The 12,058-nt window shown below is 45.6% G+C and overlaps 1 pseudogene, besides 1 other annotated feature; it reads left to right on the forward strand.

Annotated features, from left to right (window-relative positions):
* Positions 1,759–1,948: an enhancer, noted in NCBI's record as "active region_3150". NCBI's record gives its function as "activates an Ori minimal core promoter by ATAC-STARR-seq in GM12878 lymphoblastoid cells {active_cell/tissue: GM12878}" and the evidence as "EXISTENCE:reporter gene assay evidence [ECO:0000049][PMID:35858748]".
* On the forward strand, positions 11,459–11,575 carry LOC124900299 (uncharacterized; annotated as a pseudogene).
* The last annotated feature ends 483 nt before the right edge of the window (positions 11,576–12,058 follow it).

Raw genomic sequence — 12,058 nt, forward strand, 5'->3', positions numbered from 1 at the left:
TTTGCTGGGTGTGGTGGTGCGCACCTGTAGACCCAGCTACTTGGGAGGCTGAGAGATGGGAGGATTGCTTGAGCTCAGGAGATTGAGGCTGCAGTGAGCTATAATCACACCACTGCACTCCAGCCTGGGTGACAGAGAGAGACCCTGTCTCACAAAAACAAACAAACAAAAAATCTCACCCTCACAGTCCCATAAATTACAGGCGTGTGTGGAAATTGGCATGACCACCTTGGGGAAGTATTAGGGTTGCCACAAATCCTTTTTTCCTTCTCCTATTTGGAATTAGGCAGAGTCTAATTCTCATTCCTGTGAATCTGAGCTGGCCTAGGTGACTTGTGTGACAAGCAGAACGTGGCGGAGGTGACGCTGCAAGCCTTCTGAGGCTCGGTCAGCAGCAGCCTTGTGGCTTCCCCCTCCATCTTCTTGAACACTTGCTCCAGGGGGAGCCAGCTATGCTGTAAGGTGCCCCACCATCCTGAGATGGCCACGCTGGAGAGGCTTCATGGAGGACGATCTCGGCAGTTCCAGCTGAGCCCAGCCTCACAGCTGTCCCCGCTGAGGCACCAGGTGTGTGGGTGAAGCCATCTGGTACCCTCCAGATCACTTGATAGCCAAATACTTAAATGATCTTAGTCTGAGCCAAGGGGAGAGAGGAACTGCTCAGCTGAGCCTGCCTGAATTTGTAGCCCACAGAATAGATGTAATAAAATGGTGGTGGTTTTAAACCACAGAATGTTGGGGTGATTTGTTAGGTAGCAATAGACCACCAGAACAAGTACCAGCCACCAAAGCTGAATGTACCCAGATCCTAGGACCTATGCATCCTACTTCTGGATAAATATCTCACAAATATTTGTCTCTATGTGCACCAAGACACAACAAGAAAGGTCATAGCAGCGTCATATTCATAACGGCACCAAACTGGAATCAATGTAAAAAAAAAAACCAAGATGAGAACGATCCATCTGCTGGGCTAGACTGCATGGAACAGGAAAGTCGCAGAGGGTAGGAACGAGAGAAATCTGGAGGGGCCTTTGTGACCTAATTAGGAGCATTCCCAATCACTCGGCTGTGCGGTGCTGATGATGACGCCCACCTTCACCACTTCCTCCACCCACACTGCACGTGTGAGCCGGCCCTTCTCCAGAGCCAACCCCATTTTCCTCCTATGTATTTGTTCTGGTCAATACAAGCTTACAGCGTGCCAGGCACTGTGCCTGTTGAAAAGAAAGAGAGAGAGGATGGAAGGAAGGAAAGAAGAAGGAAAAGGAGGGAAGGAGAAGGGAGGAAAGAAAGGAAAGGAGAAGGAAAGAAAGGAAGGGAGAAGGAAAGAAAGGAAAGGAGAAGGAAAGAGAGGGAGGGAAGAAAGGGAGAAGGAGCGGGAGGCAGGAAGGAAGGAATTAAGGAAGACAGGAAGGAAGGAAATAAGGAAGACAGGAAGGAAGGAAATAAGGAAGACAGGAAGGAAGAGAGGAAGGGAGGGAGGATGGAAGGAAGAGAAAAAACAAAAAGAGAGGAAAGGAGGAAAAGAGGGAGGAAGAAAAATAGAAAGGAAGCAGGGAGGGATGAGGGGAGAGAAAGAAAGGGAAAGAAACCAACTAGCTATTAAAATATCTTTCATTTAGGAATCACAGGCCTGTGAACAATTCAATACAGCAAAACAGCAGTGCTGTGCAGGTCTGCGCACTTCTTTTGTGTGGATCAAAGGATTTTGCCTTTAATGCACAACCTGTCTTCTCTACCAGACTAGAAAGGAAACTCCTTACCACTAGGGACTTTTTACTGATCTTAACTTCCTGCAGTGTCCAGCACAAGGCCTTGTGCATGATAGGTACTTTCAAAACATTTTTAAAAATGGAAGAACTACATTAAACGTGAGCGACCAACTCTCAGGTGGTTGGGTTTGCGAGGTCACCCACGAGATGACCTTGAGCTGATGCGAATGGTCCATCTTGCTGCAATCAGCAGAACTCAGCCTCTGAACGCCCTCACTGCACCGCCACACTAAGCACACTAGAGTCAAGGACTATGGGCAGCCAAGTGCGTCCAAAAACAAATGCCCCTGCCTGACGGCCCATGACTCTGTCATCATAATGAGCGGTGAGCTCCAGGCACCGGATGGTCCCGTGTAATTAATTATGCAGCGTCGTAAAAAGGCAGGCAGGAAATGTCCTCTGGTCAACCGGGGAGGGCAGAGTCCTGGGGGCTGAAGAGGGTCCCGCAGGTGGAAATAAGCACCCAGGAGCTTTGGGGGATCTTGCTACACTTGCTTCTGTTGTCCAGGGGGTGGGCTCCCTAGACACCTGAGAGGCACAGCATTCTTGTGTCAGGACAGGGCTGAGCTGCAAAGCCCCTGTCGCCTCCCACAGCAAGGGCAGGTAAACCTCAGTGATCCATACCCCACCGACCAGCTGTAGTTTAGAAATTTCACACACACGCGCGCGCACACACACACAGAGTTGGAATGCAAAGTATGCATTAACTTAATGTGGTTTTAAAATTATTAAATATCCCTTATCAACCAACTAGAAATGTGCAACTAATATTAGCGGTGGGAGGAGGGTTCTCGAATTCTAAACGGTAGATTCTGTTTGAGGTGTCTAAACTAAGACAAAAAATTTCACATGTGTGACTCATCCAAACCATTAGAGGGCGACCTTCACCTTTACAAGTCTTTTGAGCAATTGTGGGGGGTGGTGGGGGAAGGCAAGATCCTGACATGTATTGAATGGACTTTGTGTTGTAGACTAAGGCACTATGGAAGAAAAATGGTAGCTACCAAAATTAATATACAAATATTGCTAAAATGCCATATCTATTTTGCATAGAGTGGAACTGAATCAATTGTATCTCTTGAATTTTGCTTTAGCTCTGCCTAAATTGACCTAAAGTCCTCAGTCAATTCCTTCATCCTTGGAATTTAGCCAAGGATTTGTGTTAACAGACTGTTTCGTTGCATTTTTCTATTTTCCAAATAAGTGAGTTGATGCGCGACAGGATTGTTTATGAGGGGGGGATGAGTTCTGCAAGAGCCCACCAGAGGGAGCCAAATGACTGCTTTAGAACCCTTCATTCACTGCTGCTTTGCTTTTCCTCTTTGGGAAGCTGCTTAATCAAACCCATTGAACACCCTTCCCTCCCCTCCCACCACCCGAGACACTTAAAAAATTAGAAGTAATCCTAGCACCAGAAATGCACATTCCGTATTTTCTTAGCCCACAGACTATGAACAAACAAATAATACTGCTGTGGCGAGGTATTTTAACAGTGTGAAAATTGCCCACTTAATAGGGAATAGAATAATTAAAGAGATCTTGGCTTAGGAAAAAAAGTGAAACGGCGGACACACAGTGAGAAAAAAATCCGGTCAAGTACAGTGACCTGCCAGGGGATGGGAGAGAATTCGAGAACCAATTAGGATTCTAAACAACTTACCCAACTGAACAGATCACTTTTCTCCTATTTTCAACGAACATTTCAAGCATCTGCTTTCAAAGGAGCCTTGACAGTGACTGTTTCTTCTTTCATTTTTTATTTTTATTTATTTATTTATTTATTTTTTTGAGACGGAGTCTGGCTCTGTCGCCCAGGCTGGAGTGCAGTGGCGCGATCTCGGCTCACTGCAAGCTCCGCCTCCCGGGTTCACGCCATTCTCCTGCCTCAGCCTCCCGAGTAGCTGGGACTGCGAGTAGCTGGGACCACGAGTAGCTGGGACCACAGGCGCCTGCCAACACGCCCGGCTAATTTTTTTGTATTTTTAGTAGAGACGGGGTTTCACCATGTTAGCCAGGCTGGTCTCGATCTCCTGACCTTGTGATTCGCCCACCTCGGCCTCCCAAAGTGCTGGGATTACAGGCGTGAGACACTGCGCCCGACTGTTTCTTCTTATGCTGTGATGGGGGTTAGCTCTGCTAGGAAGTTTCTAGACGAACACATCCTCCCTGGTTCTGTGCTGCTTCAGACCTATGAGACCCTCTGTTCAGATCAACAGCATTTGCCCACTGGCATTTGCCATTATTGGCATTCTGAAGGCCAGGATCTGCTGGGAAAATGGTGTATCTGAATTTCAGCCACGTTCTTAAAATATCCATCCTTGGCTGGGCGCCGTGGCTCAAGCCTGTATTCCCAGCACTTTTGCAGGCTGAGGCCAGGAGTTCGAGACCAGCCTGACCAACATGGTGAAACCCTGTCTCTACTGAAGATACAAAAATTAGCTGGGCGTGGTGGTGCGTGCCTGTAATCCCAGTTACTCGGGAGGTAACTGGGATTGAGGTGGGAGAATCGCTTGAACCTGGGAGGTGGAGGTTGCAGTGAGCCGAGATCGTGCCACTGCACTACAGCCTGGGTGACAGAGTGAGACCCTGTCTCAAAAAAAAAAAAAAAAAGAAAAAAAATCCAACCTCTTTCTTGACACTCTTACCTTTCTACCCACAACCTGAGGGGCTAATACATCTTTCCTCTTATGTGGCACACACTTTGTAATATATTATAGCTCCAATTCAATTCCATAGTTATTTTTAATCTGACTTTCCTATTAAACTGTCAGTTCCTTGAGAAAAGAATTTTGTCTTAATACTCTCCCTAGCCCCAGAACCAAGCAGGATGCAATGCACACACTAGGAGTAATTCAATGTTATGGATAAATGATATCTTTATGAACAAGGTGTAAAATAATAAATAAGAACTAAGAGACAGCAGGTATTTACATGGTGCCAGTCTCGGTCTAAGCACTAGATGTGTTCACTCATTTCATCTGCAGAAATGCGCTGTGAAACAGGGGATAGGCACTACAAGTGTCTACATTTTTAAATTGGCAAAACTAAGGTGATGGATGAGGAGGATTAAGTAACTTGCCCAGGGACACGAGTAGTAGAAGCTGAGACTGGGGTTTGAACCCCAGGAGCCTGATGCCAGAGCCTATGCACACAACCGTAAGACCATAAAGAGCCACACCAGAGAATGGAGACAGGATGGTTATGCAGGTCACAACCTGCTTAATGACTATACTCAAAGTGTGCTGATTAATTCACAACCAATAAAATCTTGACTAGAGTAACATGTTACTTCCCTCAATGTGTTAGGTAGGGCAAAAAGCTGAGCTACTGGAACAAGAGAACACCCCTTCCAAATATAATGGCTTAAAGACCAAAAAGCACGCGTTTTTCACTCAAGTAATAGTCTGGGGTGTGTGTTCTGTGTCAGTGAGCAGCTCTGCTCCGTGTGGTCATCCAGGGACTTGAGATCTTCCATCGTGGAGCTCTGCCATCCCTGAGGGCCTTTTCTCTGTGTGGCTGGGGCTGGGCCATACTGTGTCCAGGCTGCACCCAGCAGGAAGGCAAAAGAGACATGGGGAAGGCACACTCACTGTCTTGACGCCTCATCTTTGGGGAGAACTTAGTCATGTAGCCACATTTAACTGCTGGGAAATGAGGTCTTGCTGACTGGAATATTATTTGGCAAAAAAGGAGGAATCAAGTACTGATACATCCACAGTGTGGGTGAACCTAGAAAACATTAAGCTAGTGAAAGAAGCCAGTCACATAGGACCACACACTGCATGATTCTCATTATATGAAATGTCGAGAGGAGGCAAATCTACAGAGCTGGAAAGTAGATTAGTGATTGTCAGGAGCTGGGGGGATGAGGAGATTGGGGGTGACAGCCAAGGTGTGGGGTTTCTTTTGAGGGTAATAAAAATGTTCTAAACATGATTGTGGTGATGGATATAATATATTGCGAATCTACTAAATATACAAAGTCATTAAATTTACACTTCAACTAGGTGATTTGTATGATGTGCTAATTACACCTCAATATAGCTGTTGAAAAGTCATCATCAGCTAGAACAACAGGCTCAAATCAACCCGATGAAATGTATCATAGCTCCAGGGAAGAGCCAGCGGTGTCAGCGAAACTCCATTTCACAAGAGCAGGATGGGAGAGACATGGCTGAGCAGACCCCAGTGAGCTGCAGAAGGATTTTGGCATGTCATAAGCTCAGGGCAAGCTGCTGAAAGAGTTAAAGTCACTGAATTCAAGATTGTTCTCTCGCAGTTTAACTTCCAGGGGCTGTCAGGAGCTTTAGAGAGTCAATAAAGCTCCAAACTCACTATTAGGAAAAATAAACATGAAAAATTGACATCTTAACGCAGTGACTGCCAAGGATTCAGTGTCAGAAGAGTCCAGCTGGCCTCAGATTTTTTGACTCAGGGCTTCTGCTCTCAGGCCTGGCTGTGACTTTTTTTTTTTTTTTTTGAGACTGAGTGAGACTCTGTCACCCAGGCTGGAGCGCAGTGGCACGATCTTGGTTCACTGCAACCTCTGCCTCCCAGGTTCAAGCGATTCTCGTGCCTCAGATTCCCAAGTAGCTGGGATTACAGGCATGTACCACAACGCCTGGCTAATTTTTGTATTTTTAGTAGAAACAGAGTTTCACCATGTTGGCCAGGCTGGTCTCAAACTCCTGACCTCAGGTGATCCACCTGCCTTGGCCTCCTAAAGTGCTGAGATTACAGGTGTGAGCCACCATGCCCTGTCCCCTGGCTGTGACTTCAGCCCCTGGAGTGTGCCCATCAGGGACAGTGGAGATTAGAGTGAGAAATTTCTTTAGTTTGGGGCTTTTGGGGTTAGAAGCGTGGGGCAGGGTAGGTATGTCTTGGTGACAAATGGCCAGGGTTCCCGAGGACACACCAACAAAAAAAGAAAATGAGGCTGGGGGGAGCCAGAAATCAAGCCTCAAGAGAAGGAAATCAAAATTGCAGCAGATACAGTATCTCTAAACACCTCCCAATCATGCTTCCTTATCTCTGGCTTTCAACACCTCCTAAAACGTCAGTTTTACCTTCTGCCATTTGCACTCCATCCCTTACCAAAAATAACCTGAGGAGGACAGAATGGAAAATGTGACGTATAATTATTGCTCCGACTAGGTTTAGATTTTACCTTTGAGCTACCTGACAGAAAGACAATGGGATTATTTAAATAATTCTCATTTTCAGAAAGAAGAAAACATACCAAATTCTTAAGATATAAAAGATCTACTGACACAGCAGCTAAACAAAATTTTGACATGAATTTATGTTTTAAAGGATAAAATCTAGAAATGGAAAAGCATTTTTGATAAAGCATGGCTTTATGATTCATATGTATTGCTCGGAAGTTTCTGGTGCTTTGATTAGTTCTACCAGAGAGCTACATATATTGGAAATCAATGTAAACAACTTAATTTTCCTATAATTCAGCCAACCCCACCCCTGCATCCAGCAATTATTTATGTCCCTGGTAGGTTGTAGCACTGAGGTGACCGAAGGAAGGTATATTAGAGGATGAGAATGGTACTTGCCTTCAAGAAACCTAGTTGACAAGTCGAGTTTGAGACCAGCCTAGGCAACACAGGGAAACCCTGTCTCTACAAAAAATTAAATTAAAAAAAAATGGCAGGGCATGGTGGCACATGCACCTGTGGTCCCAGCTACTTGGGAGGCTAAAGTGGGAGGGTCACTTGAGCTCAGGAGTTTGAGACTACAGTGAGCTATGATCACACCACTGCACTTCAGCATGGGTGACAGAGGGAGACCCTATCCAAAAAAAAAAAAAAAAGAGAAAAGGAAAGAAAGAAAGAGAGAGGAAGGAAGGAAGGAAGGGAGGGAGGGAGGGAGGGAAGGAAGGAAAGGGAAAGAAACTTAGCTGGGAGGCAAAACACATGAAATAATTTGAAATGGGAAATGGCAGAAACTGAACTACTGCTGTGGGTAGCAGTTAGTCACCTTAGCTTAGTAGTGGAGGATTCCAGGAGAGATCAATAAGAACCACAATTGTAAATAAAGACCCAGAACAAAGGTCTGGAGAGCCCATCTCAAGAATTTGGACCAATCTCCTTCATAAAGAGGGCATGAGGCTCCCACTCACCCAAGAAAGGCTGGTCCTGTGCCAACAAGGCCAGAGAGCTGAAACAGCCAAGCCACAGGCCTCATTACAGGACAGCCGTCCCCCACAACAGATGCAGCCCCACCCAAACAAGAGAGTTTGGGGACAAAGGAGAGCTAAATCTCCTGGCCATCCCCGATCCCCCAGCCCCATTTCAGCATCACTGGGGCCTCAAAGGGGCCAGGTGGCATTGGGGGCAATTCTGCCATCAGCCCCTGGGAACTGGCATTTTTAATCTGCTCAATTAGGAATGTAAGGACATCTCACTTCCATTTGCCAGGCTGGCAGGGAGGGTGTGCCGACAGCCAAATGCGCTTAGTGTTGCTGAGCAAAAGTGGAGGAAATTCAACAGAAATGCAACCTCCGGCCGGGCTCGGCAGCTCACACCTGTAATCCCAGCACTTTGGGAGGTGAAGGTGGGCAGATCACCGAGGTCAGGAGTTCAAGATCAGCCTGGCCAACATGGTGAAACCCCATCTCTACTAAAAATACAAAAAATTAGCTGGGTGTGAAGGCAGGTGCCTGTAATCCCAGCTACTTAGGAGGCTGAGGAAGGAGAATCTCTTGAACCTGGGAGGTAGAGGTTGCAATGAGCTGAGATCACACCACTGCACTCCAGCCTGGGTGACAGAGTGAGACTCCATCTCAAAAAAAAAGAGAAAAGCAACCTCCTTCAGAAAGAGAGCCATTGGCTGACAAAACACCCAGAGGCGCCCAGCTCTCCTTTCCAGCCCTCCATGTTTGACCATGACTGCAGGACTGTGACGGTCAAGGGTGTCTCTCTTTTCCTCACTTCGAAATCAGGATAATAATAGACAGTGATTGCTTTTGCAAAGATTAAGGCAATGCCTGTAATGTGCTCAGGCCCGATACCTGTATAGAGAAGGCACAAGTTTAGCTGCTAGGACACGGCTGATTTCTAGCATTTTCGTTCTTCCTTCTGGCGTTTTTAGTCCCTCCACTCCTGGAGGCCACATTCAGACTAGGTCTCTCCTGGGATGCAAGGAGAGAAGGTTCAAATACACTACCGTGAAGAATCGCTCTGCATATCAGTGTCTCAGCAACAAGTCAAGCTGTTGCCTGAAAATGTCTGGAAGTTCATGGAACTTTTTCATGAAACCCAAGGGTGTGGCTTCTGGGATTGCAATGTGCAGCGGCATCATTTACAGGGCTCGCTCACCTTCTTTTGCTCTGTGCCTCACCAGGAAGAAGTGGGGTTGTGGGGGAAGCTGTTTTTATACCCTGGAGGCTCAATCTGTCCTCCCCTACTTCCACTCCTGGCCTTCTCTTTCTTTTGCAGCTCACAGCACATGAATTAACCATCCCGTTACCCAAGGTCTGTGCCAGGGAGAATAATGGCCCCCAAATATGGTCACGCTCAAATCTCTGGAACATGTGACTATGCTAGGTGACAAGGCGCAGGGAGATTAAGGTTGCAGATGGAATTCAGGTTGCTAGTTAGCTGCCTTTAAAATAGATTATTCTGGGTGATCCTGGGGGCGCTAAGAAATCACAGCATTCTTAAAAGAGGAAAAGGGAGGAAGAAGGAGATGTGAGTGGGGGAGAGATAGTCCAGGGATGCAGTATTACCGGGATTTGAAGATGGAGGAAGAGGCCACAAGCCAAGGAATGTGAGCGGCCTCTAGAAACTGAAAGACAAGGAAACAGATCTACATGGGTCTCCCCTAGAGCCTCCAGATAGAAAGGCAGCCCTGCTAACACTCAGTTACAGTCCACTGAGACCCAAGTCAGACTTCTAAAATTAATAATTTTTTATTTTCCTTTATTTGTTTATTTATGTATTTATTTTTGTAGAGACAGAGTCTCACGTTGTTGCCCAGGCTGCTCTTAAAGTCCTGGCTTTAAGTGATCCTCCTGCCTTGGCCTCCCAAAGTGCTGCAATTACAGGCCAGAGCCACTGCATCCCAGCCTTCATGTCAGACTTTTAACCTACAAAACTGTAACATAAGGCCCCAGGTGCAAGGCTTACGCCTGTAATCCCAGCACTTTGCAAGGCTGAGGTGGGTGGATCACTTGAGTTCAGGAGTTTGAGGCCAGCCTGGCCAACATGGCAAAATCCCATCTCTACCAAATACAAAAATTAGCTGGGCGTGGTGGTGCACACCTGTAATCCCACTTGCTCTAGAGGCTGAGGCATGAGAATCACTTGAACATGGAAAGCAGAAGTTGCAGTGAGCCGAGATCGCACCACTGCACTATAGCCTGGGTGACAGAGTGAGACTCTGTCTCAAAAAAACCAACAAACAAAAAAACCTGTAACATAATACACTTGTGCTGTTTTATTTGTGGTAATTTGCTATAGAAGCTGCAGAAAATTAATACAGGTCTTTCTTTTCATCTATGGTGACATCCATTCTGTCCCCCAAGATGTATTTCTTACAGAGAAGGCACACGCCATCCCCTTGATTTTTCTTTTGCCTTGGCCTAACAGGCTGGTCAAATCCTGCTAAGCCCCTATGCCTGTGGACAAGGGTAAAATTTGTCATCCTCCACGGGACCCATCACTGAGAGTCTGTGTTAGAGAGTAGGGAATGGCCAAAGAGAGCCAGGCATGGAAGAATCTGGAATCCCAGCCACCCGGGAGGCTGAGGTGGGAGGGTCACTTGAAGCCAAAAGTTTGAGAACAACCTGGGCAACATAGCAAGACTCCACCTCTAAAAATAAGTAAAAAAATTAAAAATTAAAAAAATGAAGAATGGCCACGAAGGAGAGATTGAACAGATAGGTGTGGGTATGTTTCTAGGTTGCTGAGCACACCCACATTCCTCATGATAAACCTTCAGTGCTCCCCAGTCTCCTCAACACCACGAACCCCATGGGCCCCAAGGTTTAAGAGACTATACATGTGTCCATTTAAAGCTAATTTTCCTAACTTTGTTAATCAGAGATACATATGACTTCCAACCAAAGCCTGTGATTAGCATGATGTTGCCAGAGCTATCACAATGAGTTCACAGAATTCCAGGTCAAAACAAAGCCAGGAAGCTTTAGAAATCCTGCCCAGTCCTATCGGCAGTAAAGATTTCATTTCTCTAAGTGTTTAATATTGAAAATTCTTGGTTTAGCCCCATTACCATCTCCATGGCTTCCTGAAGTTCCCAGACTCAGAACTATCAAAAGATATTTTATTTGTGTGATCCATTCACATCCAGAACTTTACTCCTCAGTACCTACCTCTTTTCACCCAAGTGTTATTTCTGAGTGCCCTTCAGCTCTGTGACTGCTGGGATGGTTTTTTTTTTTTTTAATTGTATTGGGAGATTCACTTCAAGGTCAGATTAGATTCTGAGCTGGCGTATATAGCAATGTCAATATCTATTGTGAGCCTTGGGGATCCCATAATCTGATAAAAAAAGCTTTCTCCAGTCTGTCCCTGAGAAGAAAAAGGCTAAAAGCCAATCCCCTGGAGTCTCCTTTTATGGGCCATATGCTTCCACTCCATAAAGGGTTAAAGCACATACTTCTTGCCAATGGAAGCGTAAACTCTTAGAACCACTGTGGGGAACAGTACAGCATTAAATCTACTGAAGATATCCACATCCTTAGACAGACGCAAAAAATAAATTCTCTTTTGCAACTCAGAGCTCATTGTGCGGTATGAGCTTTGATACATATAAGAAGGAATATTATGAAAAGAAGAAGAAAAAGATACGCATGTCCTATGACCCAGAACTTCCACTCCTAGGTTTATCCTCAAAGAAATGTCTGCACACGCATGCACTAAGAAACGTACAAGACTGTTCACAGCAGCATTTTTCCTAATGGTCCAAACTGGAAACATCTACAGGAAAATGATAGACAAATAATGTTGCATTCACACAATGCAACACTATACAGCGATTAATGAATTTTGCCACATGCAACAACATGGAGGCACCTCACATTTATAGTGTTAAAAAAAAAGAAAGCAGAAACAAAGAAATGTTTTATGATTCCATTTCCATTAAGTTCAAAAGGTAGATAAAATTCTCATGTTTAAGGATTCAGACTTAGGACACAACATTCTGAAGAAAAGGAAGGAAACAGTGACCATAGAAGCTTGACAGTCATTACTGTTGGAGACGACAAAGGGGATGGTGACTGAGGGGGATATAAGAGGTATTTCTGAGCA

Source organism: Homo sapiens, chromosome 10 (assembly GCF_000001405.40).
Source record: "Homo sapiens chromosome 10, GRCh38.p14 Primary Assembly".
NCBI lineage: Eukaryota > Metazoa > Chordata > Mammalia > Primates > Hominidae > Homo > Homo sapiens.